The 17012-nt window shown below is 41.0% G+C and overlaps 1 long non-coding RNA gene across 2 annotated transcripts in view; it reads right to left on the bottom strand.

Moving 5' to 3' along the window:
• The window catches only part of NPSR1-AS1 (NPSR1 antisense RNA 1), a 487820-nt gene that overhangs the window by 12293 nt on the left and 458515 nt on the right, over nt 1-17012 (bottom strand). The window lies entirely within an intron of this gene.

Raw genomic sequence — 17012 nt, forward strand, 5'->3', positions numbered from 1 at the left:
GAGAGCTTGGCTTTGCACTATTGCATGTGCCAGAGCAGCCACAGTCCAGCATTGCTCTGTCATGTCTGGCAGGGCAAGGGAGGATGATGCTTTCGTTAGGGTGGGCTAGGCTATACTCCTGTAACCATACTTTCCAGACACCATAAAGATTTCCTTTTGTGCCTATCACTCTGTCTGGAGGGTTGAGTAGCTACTTGTGGTAATTCAGGAGTTCAGGGTCCTTCAGTTTTCCAAAGTTGTAGTAAAAGGCAGAGACGGAGAAGACAGGATCACGCTAAGGGCTTTAGAGTGCCATTTGCACGTTGTGTACCTGGCTTCCTCCTACTTTCCACTGATGAGATCCATTCACATGGATACAACTTAATTGTGGGACCGATGGGAAATACAGTCTTCCACATGCCCAGATAGAGGAAGTGGGGTTAGTGAGCCTCTAGCTAGTCTTTGGTTCAGGGATGTTTGCCCAGAGTCTCTGTAGAACAGGATCATTGGGTAGCATACACTGGCTAGCATCTAGTACCAAACAGAACAACTCAGGATTTTTCATGTGTTTATAAAAATTGATATTTAAAAATCTTTCAGATTTGTGTTTTCTCTAGCAACACTGACTTGCTCTAAAGTTATAAACATCTTCTTAAAAATGAAAAGCTCTCAATCATACAGTGTAAATTATATATGGAAAGTAGCAAAGGAATATTTTTAAAGCTGTCACCAATGCTCCACTCCTGACTTATAGTTGTGTGTTTTTTTGACGTCTGTCAAACCAGTAGGACAGATCCTGGGTAGGGGCATGAGGAATGGGGGAAGTTTGTCCACAGACTCATCAGTCTTCACAAGGTGGTTGAACATTATTCCAAGGGCAATGGGAACTGCCTGAAGATTTAAGTAAGATGGTAACCCACTACATCTTATCTGGAATATGATCCTGCATACAAGTAGGCAACCTGGTTATTATCTGGACAGTCATTCAAACACAGTGTGTGCCAGAAATTTATTTGTGGCTTAAATCAAGATATCAGGCACATTCCTATTTATAAAAGTTTGACTTAATCCCCCCAAAAATTTTTTTTCATAACCCTCGTACTTGAGCTACTTCCAGAATTAAATTTGATCAAGTGAAACCACCTCCTTTCAAGAGAGAACTTCCAAAGTATCTGCTAGTCACCCAGTCCTCCTAACTCCCTTCCCCCTTCATCAATGGGTAGAGTTGAAAGTTTGGCCCACTTCCAGGACAGCCTTTAGGAATCTCTTATCCTACTGTAAACTGAAGACTACAAAGCTCTTCCAACAGTGACTTGATGGCAGAAGAGAGGCCAGGTGACCCTGTGCCCTGCTTGATGGGAGGCAGCAATGATTTCTGAATCGTAGTTCACACTAAGTCCTCGATGATCTGCTTTCTCCTGTGGGTCAGACTTAACTGAAAATAAATATGTCGCAGGAAGCCTTTCCATAACTTTTCCCTCCTTTCTCCCACTCCTGAGAAAGAGAGCCTCCCTCCTGCAGGAGGAGAGCCGGGCATTGCACTATTGCATGTGCCAGAGCAGCCACAGTCCAGCATTGCTCTGTCATGTCTGGCAGGGCAAGGGAGGATGATGCTTTCGTTAGGGTGGGCTAGGCTATACTCCTGTAACCATACTTTCCAGACACCATAAAGATTTCCTTTTGTGCCTATCACTCTCTCTGGAGGGGAAAGCATTTCGTTGATGTTCTTTATTTTTCTGCAGGCAACAAATGCCTGAGAGCAGGGGCTCCAACTTAGACATATTATGTGGGCCACACTATTCGGCAGAGCTCCTTGTCCTCTGCAGAGGATCAGTAACAATTTGTTACAAGTACAGGTGAGGGACACAGGCTTGCCCCAAAAGTATTTGTGGGACCTCATGGAGTAGATCACTTGATATGTTTTGCCCTCAGCACTCTTATCTGAAAGTAAAAGAGGTTGGATGTTCTTTAGGCCCCTTCGAGCGCTCGCTCTCGTGAATCCAACAATTTAGTTTTTTAAGGTGATCGTGGTGCACTGCTGTCTCTGGAGTTAGGAAGATCCTGACTCTGCTACTCACAAGCTGCATGACCTGGACAAGTTGTTTAATCCCCCTGAGAAAAACAATTTCAATTTTGCACTTCATGTTGAGGAATGAAAGATATACAGAGAAACATCTCAGCACAGGCATGCAACAAACACAGGTTTAATATATAAGACTAGTAGTAATAATAGAATAATACTAGAAGTCTGCAAGACAGAAAGTTCTAATGCAAAAAAAAAAATGGTGTTGGTAGGAATACCTTCTTGTTTTAGGTACCACCTAGGTCCAGGCTCTGGTGTAGACACTGGGGTTAAAAGATACATAAGTTTTGGCTGGGCGCGGTGGCTCACGCCTGTAATCCCAGCACTTTGGGAGGCTGAGGCGGGTGGATCACAAGGTCAGGAGATCAAGACCATCCTGGCTAACAGGGTGAAACCCCATCTCTAATAAAAATACAAAAAATTAGCCAGGCGTGGTGGTGGGCGCCTGTAGTCCCAGCTACTCAGGAGGCTGAGGCAGGAGAATGGTGTGAACCCGGGAGGTGGAGCTTGCAGTGAGCCAAGATCACACCACTGGACTCGAGCCTGGGCGACAGAGTGAGACTCCGTCTAAAAAAAAAAAGATACATAAGTTTTTTGACAAAGCTGACAAACCTATGGGTTGAATCAATTATGATGAAAATGCAGCATTGCTTTTTATTTGGGATGCTTCCTTCTGAAAGCCAATAACATAAGGCAAAAGAGAAATGAATCCTGAAATGTAGCTGAAATGTAGGGACTGTTTTATAGAGAAATAAGCCAGAAAAAAAATGCACTTTTAGATATCTGAAGAAGATTTTGTAAGGCCTACCCTGGCCTACACCTACACCATCCATGAAGCTGCACATGCTGATGTGTGTCTACATGCATGTGTTTGGGTGTCTGCATGTGTTTGCATACACACATACACTTGCCCCTTTCCAGCAAACATTCTCAGGCTTTGCAGACAGGCTCACTAACTCAGACGGCAACAGCATCAGCATCTGTCATCTTTTCACACCAAGAGCAGTGGAATCCGTTGATGCAATGAGAAAACACAACTCTCAATCAGCTCTGGGTAAAGGATAGATGCCAAATAACTATATTTTTAAAATTGGGAACACTGTGTGCATCTTCCAAGTGATGCTGGTAAAAGGTTGACTCACTCATAAATACAAGGTTGCAGCTGGTACTAAGGGATGGATTTTCCCAGCAAGGGGCCCCTAAATGGCAGCTGCCTGCCAGAAAAAGGCATGTGAGGCACTGAGCTAATTTGGCTGTGTACCCTCTTTTGCCCTTTCATTTGGTCAAGCCCTGGAATGTTAACGCAAGCTGAGAGACAGTAAGCCACACATGGCTTTCACATACAGAAGGGCCAGGCATTGGAACCTACATTTTTGGACTGAATTGATGAGGATTATATATGAGGTCTTGGGAGATCGCCATCCTCGCCACCCTCCATCTCTGTAGAGTGTGAGAATCTGTGGATCTCATGCTTTGGGGCCTTCGAATGGCTAGATAACATTTTGAGGCATCAATTTATTTCATTTGTTTGGCTTCACTGCCTCTGATTTTCCTTGTTCTGTCTTCCCCATGCAGGCAGGTTGTTTGTTCTGGGCTTCATCGGCACAGATAAAGTAAGTGACAGAGCAGAAATCAGAAGTCACAGGCAAGAATAGCTGGCATTTTCCTTATAAGCCTTCACAGAGGGTTTGAGGGTTTTTGAAAGAAGTAAAAGTATGAAGGGTGGCTGAGGCAGAGTGAACTGAAGAGGCAGAAAACAGAATGGGACTCACCTGTGTCCTCCCACTCAGTCCACAAAAACCAGGGCTGCAGCAGGAGAGAGGCAGGGAATACAGGCCTGCTGGAGCATGGAGATCAGCCTAGCTTTCTAGCAGTATCCTGGTGAGGAGCCATGATTTCAGAGAAGAATGCCATATGCCAGATGGATTGTCTCCACAGGTAGGACCACAGGTGTCCTAGGCTGGTTACCCAAGGCCCCAGACAAACAAGGACAATGTATCTTCCCAGGTATGCCCAGGACCGCATACCAGATGTCTCTACCTGCCACCTGACCAATCCACCTGACTCCAGGAACCATGGCTTAACCCCGTGGATTACTGAGGTCAAGTTTCACAAGATGCCTAGGATGAGGGAAATGCTAGAATAAAAATTGGGCCGAACTCTATAAAATAAAGAGATGTAATTTTTTTTTTGCGCACCTGATTTTGTGAGCTGGCATTCCTACCTCCTACCTACGGATAATGAATAATTTCTAGATTAGCTGTTGGTCTTTGTTGTCTGTTTTGAGGCTGCTCTAGGAAACCTTGGGGCTACCTCTGCACAGCTGAAGAGGAAGCCCCCACAGGAGCTGGAGGAGTTGTACCAGGACTGAGAACTCTGCTGCAAGATGCTCCATTTTTTCTCTTCCAAGCAGTGCTTGCTGTTGTCAGTCAATTAGGACTGTGCATCCTAAGGATGCAATGAATCTCCAATTGCATCATCTCATCCAGTCTTTGTGGCTTTCTCCTTTGACTTAGTATCTTTGGTCCCTGTGATATCAGGGCAGTGCAAGAGTGCCAGGTGGGGGGAACTGAGAGCCTAGAATTTTTGTGTGTAGGATACAGAGCTTAGGGATCCAACTCTCTATCTGCCCTCTCCTCTCTCTCCTTCCCTCCTTTCCTCTATCCCTTTTTCTCCCCTCCCTTCCTGTATTCTTTACTCTATCCCACTATCTCTCCCTTTCTTCCTGCTTTTCAAATTACCTTTTTTTCACATTCATTGAGGCTCGCAATAGATCATACTCTATGTTCAATGCTGACAATATAATGAGGAGCACGGTGGGCATAATTTGTACTCTCTTAGTCTATATTTTAATGGGGGGAATCTAGAAAAGTGAACAAGAAATTACAGTCCTAGATCACGAATGTTCACATATAGCATCCAGTGCTAAGAATCCCATAGGATGGGCAGCAAAATTTTGTCATAGCTGGTGGGAATCAGAAAAGGCCTCTTAGAGGAAATATTTACTAAAGAAATGATAGCCAGGTATAAGGAGTTGGAGGGAGAAAAGGAGTGTTAGGAGAGAGGGAAAATGTTAGAGCTAGGGATAGAAGAAAGACGTTCGGTGTTAGAGGAACTGTATTGTTTTAAACAATCGATTTAACAAACCTATAGTGTTTACTATACCCAACTATATGGAGTAGATACTATTATTATCTGCATTTTAAAGAGAGGGGAAAGGAGGCATAAGATTAAGAACCTTGCCAAGAAGTTCAGAGTGGCTTTCCCTGTGTTAGGGTAATGGTCTGCACCACAGCCTCACAGGCACTGTTGGATCAGGAGCCAAAATCCTGAATGGAAAGCAGGCAAATAGAAACTACCACGATGGCACCTCTGTGGAGAATTAGCATGCTGTGGTCTGGATCACTGGGTACTTCTCGGTCCTCAGAGTCAATTCCCTTCAAAAGTCTTCTGTGCTCCAAGCATTTCTCATTTCCCTGAAACTTCATTTACATCAATCATTTGCTGAGCAAGGCTTTTGCACAGAGAGAATTTAAAGGGAAGTGGCTCTCAAGTTTCCACCTACATTATCATACATTTTGAGTAAAAAAATTCCTAAGAACAGCCCTTAGTAAGTTACAGATACATCAGGATCCTCCCATGAATTAATGAAATGAAGCATGTAGCTGGGAGAATGATAACCAACTCAAAAGTAATTTATGTTTTTAATTGGGTAGTGATTGAAATCTACCCAGCAGTTACAAATTTATTCACGTTGCTTTGGTCTCATAGCTTCACTTCCTGCCCCTCTGCCTGGAGCCAGGTCCTACTGTATACTCCCTACTCCTCTCAGCTCTTTGTGGGCAGGAATTGGGTTTTTAATGGCCATCAAGGGCCATCTTGAAGTCTTAGAAGGCAGATGAGTATTATAGGCCACAGGTGCACTTTGATGTGATGATAAGCATTCATTTATTCCTTCATTGATTCATTCATTCACCCAGCGTAATCAAGTGCTAACTCTATGCCAGTTCTGAAAATGCTTGCTCTGCCATTAGCAGACTAACAATTGAGCTCTAACATAAATGTATGTGTGACGTGCCATCTGTAAGTGTTGGTAAGGCTTTTTCAGAGAAGGAGAATGTTGGGTTGGCCCTTGAAAAAGAAGAAAGGGTAGCATAACATTCCAGACAAAAGGAACATGCAAAGTCATGGAGGAATAGGCCCATGCATCCATAAATCCAGTTCCAGCCAGGACAGAAATCCTACTAGAGTTCCCAACCCACAAGCCCATGAAGTCTGGCATGAGAGCCATCATGCAGGAGCAAGCTCTGGGCATGCTTGAACCCGCTATTATATATCATCTTTTCATCATGTAAAACTTGACTCAGCCATCACTCACCAAAGTTAGGAAGCCTTCTCTGACCCTTCTGGGTTGTTTTAGACATACCTCTAGGAATTTCCACAGAACCCTGGGAGCATACTTCTATTACAGTGCATTGTCTTAGATAATCTATAAGCAACTGTCTCCTTTGTGAGACTGTGAGCCCCTATGTAACAATTTCCAGTACACAGTTAATCAATGAGATAATGCTTATTAAATGAATGAATGAATGAGTGAATAGATAATTTTTGTTGACTACCATCACTTGACCCTCACTGTTAAAATGCTAGAAAAATCTGCCCACTGGGCATACTACTATCCTGTGGCAATTTTGTAAAGATTTGGCCCTCGACACCTGTGATTAGAAATTACAAAGGAAGCTGAAGGTACGAACAAGATTCCTGGTAGAACACTCACCCCAGCCTTTTGGCTTTTGCATTCACAATTCTAGGCTTGAATTTAGAATGAAGTGAGTGGAATGAGTCCTGTTACATGCTGACTGCATTCAATTGTAGTTCAATTATAATTTATGAATCGCTTTGGTCGTCATGGGCCATTATCGTAACCAGATGGCATGGCCTTATTATGGCACCCGAAGACATTCATCTTGCAAAAATGGACAGTCAGACACTAAGTCCCTGTGGAGAAAGCCATTCCCAACCTGTGTAGGCTAGTGGTGATCTCTGATTATTCTCAGATTATGTCTCTGGATTTACATTATAATTTGCATTCCTTGTTTAGGAGGATAATGACAACAAGTCCTGTTATAGGATTTGCATATATCTTTTTAACTTTCCCAGTTTGTTTCAACATCCTTCTCACTTTTAGCTAAGACTGGGAAAATTTCTTTCTCTTTTGCTTTTACTTGATCAAATTTTTTTTTCCTGTTTCTTTCTCAAAAATCTGTTTAGAGTTAGGTATCAGTTACCTTGTGCCCTAAATTTTATTGTCATTTTAAAATGCAATGTTTTGTGGGATTTTTTCTTGTTTAAAAAAATCTGCAAGAACAAAAATGAAATTTATGAACTATCTAATAACATAAATCAATGTTATACTTATTTAAAATACGGTACAATTTTTGTATTCACAGAAGGAAAACATCATTTAATTAAGAAATAAGGGTCTCTGAGAGTTGTTTTCTCTCTGTAAATATTAACAGACAATTTGAAATTTACATTCTGCCAGTTGATATTTCTAACTAAGTAGCTTTGCTATTTGAAAGACATGTCTTGTTCTGTTATCAGTTAAGATGTTGCATTCTGAGGGTCTTTTTGCATTAGGCACTTTCCAATCACATTGAACATATTCCAGGAGGACTTGTTTGGTTCTAACGGACAGAGGCTAAGCTTAGAATCCCTCAGGTGACGGAACTTGTATTTACCTTGGCAGGGAGCTCAGCACCATTGCACCTTATGAGAACAGGGACTGGAACTCACTCAATTTCACAGCCTCCTCTCATGGCACCTGCTTCTCACTGCACATCTGCTAAATGCTCCTCTCTCTACCAACTGGCATCGTCTTCTCCTGCTCTTTTTCCTTCATCTTATATGCATACATTTTAAATTTCCATGTTTTTGCCTCAACATCATGAGTTTGCTTTACCATCTACTCCTACTTCTAACCCAGGGTTCTAATTACCTATACCCAAAATCCAAAGAATAAAACCTGAGTATCACAGCCCATCTTTCTGAGCCAGATCTCACAAGTCATTTGTCACAGGCCAGCCTCTATGTGCCTCTTTGGGTATAATACTCAGCCTTGCTCTAATCAACTCTGACAAAAGGGGGGATCATATAATATAAACATGACCTATTCAGGCAGAGGGGCTGCAGATGGCAAAGTGCCTTACAACAGGGAGTGGCTGAAATTTATCCTTAGCATCTGTTTAGGCTTGAAAACAATGTTTGTTTGGGCCTATATAGTTTTGTTTTGTTTTGTTTTTTTTAACATGGGAAATGAGAACATATGTCATCAGTCACTACTTTTGATGAGCTTCAAAGACTTAAGATTTTCCTACAAGTAATCTCAAGAAACTCACCCAGAAAAACAAACTAGGACTCAGCGCTGACCTCCCAGCAATCCCAATAACTTGCTTGAAAGTGAAGGAAGTGGATTTCAAACAAGTGTAAGCCAAGAGAGGATTTGATGCCCACATAAACCAGGAAGAATGATATTACAGCTGGCCTCAGGAATAACAGAATTAGGACTGGGGTTCTCTCTGCCTGTCAAGACTCCTGGCCTCCATCTCTGGCCTCTGCATCACTGTGTGTTGGTCTCATTGGTCTCAAACCGGCTTATCCTGCATAGAGCACTTTCTCCAGGCCATGTCCTTATAGATTCACAATCAGAGAAGACAGAGGCTTTCAAAAATCCTGGGGAATAACTCTGATTCACTTACCTTGGTCACATACCGTATCAGAGTGCTCCAGAAAAATAGAACCAGAAGGACGTGTGTGTGTGTGCGTGCACATGCATTTGTGTGTGTAAAGAGATTTATTTTGAGGAATTGGCTTATATGATTATGGGGACTGGCAAGTCTGAAATTTGTAGGGCAGGCCAGCAGACTGGAAACTCAGGCAGAAGTTAATGCTGCAGTTTTGAGATAGGATTTCTTCTCTGGAAAATGTCAATTTTGCTTTTAAGGTCTTCAACTGGTTGATGAAGCCCACCCACATGATTGAGCATAATCTCCTCACTTAATGTCAACTGATTTTAAATGTTGATCACATCTATAACATATCTTCACAGCAACATCTAGATGATTGGCTGATTAAATAACTGGGTACTATTGCCTGGCCAAGTTGCTACATAAAACTAATCATCACAGAAGCCCACCCTGTGCTCCAGTTAATGGGGCAATGGGAAATTGGGTACTATGATTGGAACAGGTGGGATTATCTGTCCACGCATATGGTCATATGTGGGGACTCTATTAACAGAAATGAAATTAGTATATATAGGAACACCTGTAAACCCATAAACCACCTCATTGGTCTATACATGGATACATGATATGGGGACTCATTCCTTGTCTGTTTCTGGACTCAGTCTCCACAGTGCCACATGGATGGGCACAGGGAAGTGGAAATTGAGGCTGGCCTGATTTAGCCAATTTGTAATGGTAACACAATTTCAATTTGTGTTTTACTTTTTTTTTCATCCTGCCTTCTGACAATACTTTCATTCTTACAATCCCCAACACTTAATGAAATGTGCAGGAGAAACAACACAAATGAATTTATAATATGAGGTATTTATTATTAATAGATAATGCATATGAAAATAATCAATTAAATTCTGACACAATTTCCAAAGAGTTTTTGTGATTCATGCCATCTTCCTCTTCATTTCAAAGTTATTATTAATTCATTCCAAAAATATATTTTGAATGTTGCAGTAACAGAGATGATTGTAGGTCTGGAACTACAGTGGTAGTGAACAAAGCAGATGAGATCCTGCGCTTTTGTTGAGCCAGGATCTCATTTAGTACATTTGCATTTAGTAAGTTAGGGGAGGGAGGTAAAAACAAAAACAAAAAAACACGCAAACACTCAAATGCCTAAGATAGTTATGGTGGTGGTGTCTCCTGAAGACAATAAAACAAACTCTGTGATGGAGCACAGTTAGTGGGAGCTGAGCTACCTTTAGTCAGGTAGCCCGAGCAAACTGCCTCCCTGGGACCACGTTTGAGCCGTGATAGGAAAGGCAAGAAAGAGCTTCCCACGTAAAGACATGGCAACTCCATCGACAACCCCATAAGTCCATTTCCATATGTGAATATATACATACGGAAGCTTCTGAGTACTCAGAGTTTCTGCTTCCTCATATCTTTTTCTTACATATTGTCTGGATGCTCTCAGTGTTCTTATGTATGCTTAGATTCAGCTCCTACTACTGCTGGCTCTCCCTGGGTTGTGTTTTTGAAGTTCATCCTCCTAAGGGAGATAACCTGATTGGCCCCACTCACCCCTTCTCACAGTTGCTGCCATCCAGTAGAGTGGTTGCCCTCGTCACAGGCACCACCTTTAGTCCAGTCAACTATGGCAGAGGTGGAGGGACTTTCACATTCAGAGAGGCTATGCATTCAGCAGGGGCTATGGGTGAATTCTTTTAGTTAAAAAGTGGTCTTGAGTGCAGACACCATGACTGAAATATCTGGAACTATGCATCCACTATGTGCCAAATACCAGATTAGAGATAAATAAGATATGAAGTTCGCAATGACTGGGGAACTCCACAAAGCAACACTATCAACATGAAACCTTCCTGACCTCCCACGTTGTCCTAGCGGCCTCCTTATGTATTTCTATCCTGGCAACTTTTCCCCTTTATTGCTCATTTTTCTGCATATCTACTTCATTCTACTCGAAACCGAAACCCATAGAGTTTAAGCGAATTGCCCAAGGTCAGTGTCCTAAGTCCTGGACTCCCCATTCTGTGTGTATGGCATCCCATCACACCAATCACTCAGTATCTGCAGTGCCCTAAGACAGTGATTATCAATGGGAGATGGAGGGTTGCAGGAGGCGGGGTGGGAGTGTAATTTTGCCCCACAGGAGATGTTTGGCAATTCCAAAATATTTTTGTTTGTCATGATTTGTGTGGTGGTGATTCTATCAACAATCAATAGGCCCACATCAGGGATACTGTCAGACATCCTGCAATGCAGAAGATAGCTCCTCACAACCGAGAATTACCCCGCTGAGAATATCGCTTGTACTGAATATCAACCCTGCCCTAGAGAATCCTAAGCAATTGATAACCAAGATGTCTTATGATGACATTGTGACCTCTCTCTTCCTTCCGCACTCCCCAGATCATTAATGGCCTCTTAGAAATGGCAAAGTTTGCTTGCTAGGCAGAGAAGAATCCTGATTTTGAAACTGATTCAGCAAAAGAAGCTGTCACTTGACAGTGGAATCACAATATATCACTCCATGGTCATTCATCATCTTCCTCATCTTTTATTATTATATACTGCATGAGTCAATAGCACCTCCATTAATATTTTGCATAGCTATGTTATACATTTAATAAAATGCATGCCCTTTAAAAGTCATAATGTCCCCAAGGACTTGTATATGATACCACATAATTTTTCTTGAAACTGGGATCTGCCTTGGAGAATGACTTCAATTTGTTTTCCAGAAGTATTGACATAAATCACTATTTCAGCAAGTCTGATCACCAGACCGTTGCTGGCCTGCGATAAATGTTTTCCAACCTGCAAAACTTTTGCCACAGGAAGTTATTTTATTTTTAAAAGCTATAAACTGAAATGATGACCCTTGACAGGCAATGAGACCTATAACCTTATATGAAGTTCTGATTTTTGCTATATTTTACCCATTAAATAAATAATTGAATAAAGAAAATATGTTAACTAGTACCTGTTTCAGCCTAGTGTCCTTCAAAGCAGAATCTGAGGTAAAGGTTTATGAGGAGTTTATTTGAGAATGTGACTGCAGAGAGGAGAGGCAAGGATTGGGGAAATGAAATGTAAGGAGGGAAATCCAACACAAGCCTGCACCATGAGTTGGCCACCTAATGAGTGACTGGTCACCTCATACTGAGAACCTCTGGGAAACATGAAATGCATCTGAGACTCATCAGACTGGGTAATAAAGAGGGAAGCATTTGTCTGTCCACTGCCAGCCATCACTGGTCGGGGTCACTATACAGGACGTCTGCTTCCCCAAATTTCATTTGTGAGTACTAGTTGTCCCAGAGATGCCCAAGGATAGACAGTGATGGAGGGCATAAACAAGAAAATAGTAGGCTGCACCTGCAAGAAACTTGTAGAAGCCTGTGCAGAACCTGTCCCTGTAGAGGTAGCTGCAATGAGAGGTAAGGCCTGGAGCACATGAAGACGTAAGTGAGAGGTGTTAGAATCAATCCTTTAATGAAGATCAAAAATAAGCTTAGCCATACTATCCTTACATGTATAGTGTATATAATGAATATGTAGATGTCTGAGACATTTCCTACACATCCACATATGCCTATGTATTTCTCAATATATACCCCTGTAAGTATAGGTGGATATGCACACCCTTACACATATGTACACATATACCTGGACACATACATATTATATACATCTGTAAATATTTAATTTAAATAACTACTTATCACATGTGAAACACTTGTATCATATTTGATAATGGCAATGGTAATAGAAATTTTCAATACTTTTCTCATCTACAGTTTAGTGCTACGTAAGAAATATGGCTACTCTCATTTTGGCTTCATTGGAAGGGAACACCATTTGACCTTGTAAGCATGGCTATACTTATTATTGGAAGTGCATGGCAAAGTGTGTCCTTCCAGTGGTCACTAATGTCCTATTTTCTTTGGATAAGATATTCAAGATTGACTCTTTTAGCTGTTTAGATTTAAAACCTGACTACTCCTGTTTAAATCCCATCTACACGGGCATCCTAGTTGTGTGACCTAAGGCAATTTATTTAACCCTTCTGTGCCCCAATGTACCTACCAGCAAAATGGAGACAATCATAACACCTACTTCATAAGATTATTGTGGGAACAAATGGGTTAAACATGAAAAACACCTATATTGGAGCCTGGTACATAGTAGGAGCTTTAGCAGCTCAGCTATTAATAACTAATATTAATAAATGTTAGCTATCATTATTATTTTCACACATGCATACCAAAATGGTATGAAACGGGAGCGGGAAAAGGGGATGGAATTAGTTGGCCTAATTTTTCTTAGTCATTTCCTACCAATAACCCATGTCGAATGTATTTGTAAGTGAGAAAAAACACTTTGAGTTTCATTTTTTAAAGTACGTTTCTTGTTTTCAGTTTTATTTAGAGAGAAACATGTAAAGTATTTTAGATGGCATTTGACATTTTATTTGAGAATTGCTGACTCAGACTGAGCCAGACTGGGGAGCTATGGAATGGAACAGAGTCATTAAAGTAATAATTCAAGAAACGTTAAAAGCAAAACATGACAAGTGACTCTTGATGAGTGGAATTGGAAAATACATTTGCAGCCATGTGGCCAAGTTAACCTGGGTAGAGGATAGGAAAACCCTCATATAAGGGAAATCAAAAATATTCCCTATACGTCTACCGTGTGCTAAGACCTGTGGTAAGACTGTATGTACAAAGTTAGGTAGAAAAGTCTCTAACTCAAGGAACTCATAGCCTATAATCTGCTCCTTAGTCTTTATACTGAAAGTATAAACCAAGTATGTGAACCAAATGTATAAGCCTGTTTTTAGGTTTAAAACAAAGCAAAATAAACAAATCAGCCTAAGATTTGTCCAAGTAGTCTCATAAAACATTGAGCCAAAAGGATTTGACATAAAGAAATAATCGAAGAAAGATTTTATGAGGTTTTAGAATTTGTTCTTACATAATTCAATCAAAACCGATATTTTCTGTGTAAATGCAGTTTCAAAAGGACACGAGAGTGAGACTCACCAAAATAGTCATTATTTCAATTACCTGTTGCTATAATAAAGCACCCCAAAACTTACTTACTGTAAACAATTATTTTATTATCCCTAAAAGTTCTTAAGTTGACTCAGTTGGGCTGGGTGATTTTCCTGGTCTATGTGATATTGACTTTGACTATAGAAAGATGAAAGATGAACGGGGCTAGAACATACAAGATGGCTCATTCTTATGGCTAGTAGTTGTTGCCTATTGGCTGTGAACTAGCTGGGGCTGTTGAACTTACCAACTCCACATGGCTTTTTCACATGGCTTGGACTTCTAGAAAGATAGATAGATTCTGAGTGAGCAACATAAAAATGAGCATCCTAAGAAGAAGAAAGCTGAAATGCCAGTTTTCAACTCAGAAGACCAAAATGTCACTTCCATTGTATTCTATTGGTCAAAGTGTCCATAGGATCAGTCTAAAATCAAGGGAAGGAAAAGTAAGTTTCTCCTGTCGATGTAAGGGGTGACATGGGTATACAGGAAGGGGAGGATTTGGGGGCTGGTCAATTTCAGATACCGGCTACCACGGGAATTTTAAAAGTAGAATTGTAATAATGAGGAAGGTCTTGGCATAAGACCTATTATTACTGGCACTGGTGGCTTTATAGGAACTATGTTAATTTCAAATTTAAATGATGAATGCGGTGTACTTTGGTGTTCTTGTTGTTACAGAGTAGGATAGTGTGCTAACCTCCACTCAAGACTTGGTTAAAGTTCTTATATTTATTATTTTCACTTGGTTTGTGTGTTATTGTCCATCTACCATACAAACCATCAATATTAGCAAGGACAATGTTTTAGGCCCAATAACTCCCAAAGCCCTGCCTTGCTGATAAGATGTGTGATATAACCTTGTTAATCACCTTGAGATTTCATGAGTTTTGGCTAACCATGCCCTGTTCCTAGCTCACTATTAGACATAAAAGGCTATGTGGGAGCCCTGAGCAGGCCTCGCCCCACTCCTATGGAGAAGGAACAATAGTCCTTGAGGATGAAGGTGGATGGGAAGAGGATCTAGAGAAGAACGGGAAAGAGAATTGTAAATGAGTAAAACTTGTAAGGCTCTTATAACTGAAGCACAGACATTCTGTCTGTGTGAGGACAGATATATCCCATTAATTGAGCACCTACTATGTGCCAGACAATTTGCCAACCTCTTTACAAAAAATCATTTCCATTTTAAAAGTAAGATTGCTAACCTTCACAGAAGTTTAGCAGTCTTCAAAGGTCATAACAATAATAAGTAGCCAAAGCAGAATTGTAACCCCTGCCTATTCCACATTCAGAACATCAGATTGCCTTTTCCTGTAGTTATGAAAAAGTGAACACCAGCTTAGATATACAGTTAACCTATCAGATCTAGCACGTTAATTTCAATGTGAAGTCATCTGCAGTGACTCAGTATCAGCCATATTTGAAAGCTGGCAGTGACTGAAAATGCTCTTGATAGCTCAGAGCCATGAGTTTGACAGGGAAGATGCAACAGCTGGTACCAATTAGAAACATATAAAGTAAGACTTTTGGGAAACCTAAAAATAAACTTATCTTTTGTATAGCTATCCATAGTTTGGAATGGGAATCACTTATTGAATCAAATAATTGGCTCTCAGTGTCTGTAGCAAGTTAATTACCTAAGGCAAATGAGACACAGCACTCTCAAGAGAATTGTATCTGTTTATCCTGTCAAGTCGTGCTTCTAATTTTGAGGCATCTTTCTTCCTACTCTCCTTTTTATTTAAAGGCTAGTGGTAGATTGTATACTTATGATTTAAATTGACAATAAATAATACAAGGCAAAGGGCTGATCTTCTCTTAATAGTAGCGATGTTAGGGAAAACATGGAATGATGTGAATGAGGCACTTCATATTATCTCTGTTCCATGCTGTATAATGTCAGCCTAAGTCCACATAGTCATCTCTTTCCAGGGATATTGGGGATAGAGAAGAGATCCTGCATCAGAGTCCTAGATCTGTCACTGCAATGTAACCTTGAGGAGATACTTAACCTCTCTGAGCCAAAGAATCCTTATTCAGATGTAACTAACATTTATTTTCCCATTTTGTAAGTGGCAGCATATTTTACCTACATAACCTCATTTACTTACTGTATGCATCCTGCACACATTCGGGCATGCTGTAGATTCTTCAGAGAAATAAACTAAGGTTTAGTTTTGAGGTTATAATAAAGAACTGAGGTGAGCCAACCCCAGATTCCATGCACTTCCCATATGGCTAACAACCATTGTAGTTGGCTGGGGTCTTCACCCTGGTAAGATTAGATGGTTGTGATTTCAAATAAGGAGCAATCAGCTATCAAAGCTGTTCAAATGTTAGTTTCTAGTTAGTGAACTTTGCTCTACTGGCAACCATCAACTACTTAGATTTAACTCCTCCCCTTCTCCATCATATCCAATCTCCATCAGGGCACTTTGATTCTCTGTTCTAAACTTGCTTTACTTTTTTCTTCTATTCTCTACTCCTGCCTTTGTTCTGAGAGTGTCTCCGAGACCTGTGCAAAAGCCTTTCCTGGGCCCCCTACTTCTTTCTCAACTCCCTCCAATTTATTCTCTTTGCACTATTGACTTGTTAAAAGCAAAACTTTGGACAAATTGCACTTAATAGAGTTTGAGCAAAGAATGATTCATGAATTGGGCAGACTCCAGAACAAAATCAGGTTCAGAGCAACTTCAGGACTGCCACCTGGTTGCATAACATTTCCAGACAGAAAAAAGAAAGTGATGTGCAGAAAATGGAAGTGGGTTGCAGAAACAGCTGGATTTGTCCCCTTCTTATGTTAAAACATGACCTCCAGTGTTGGAGATGGGCTTAGTTGGAGGTATTTGGGTCATGGGGGCAGATCCCTCATGAATGGCTCAGTGCTGTTCTCACAGTAATGAGTGAGTTCTAACTCTATGAGTTCATATGAGATCTGCTTGTTTAAAACACTGTGGAACCTTCCCTGTCTTTCTTACATTCTCCTTCTCCACGTGATACACTAGCTCCCCCTTAGCTCTCTGCGATGATTGTAAGCTTCCTGAGACCTTCACCAGAAGCCCAGCAGATGCAAGCACTGTGATTCCTGTACAGCCTGCAGAACCATGAGCCAAAATAAAC

The sequence above is a fragment of the Homo sapiens genome, chromosome 7, assembly GCF_000001405.40.
Source record: "Homo sapiens chromosome 7, GRCh38.p14 Primary Assembly".
Taxonomy (NCBI): Eukaryota; Metazoa; Chordata; class Mammalia; order Primates; family Hominidae; genus Homo; species Homo sapiens.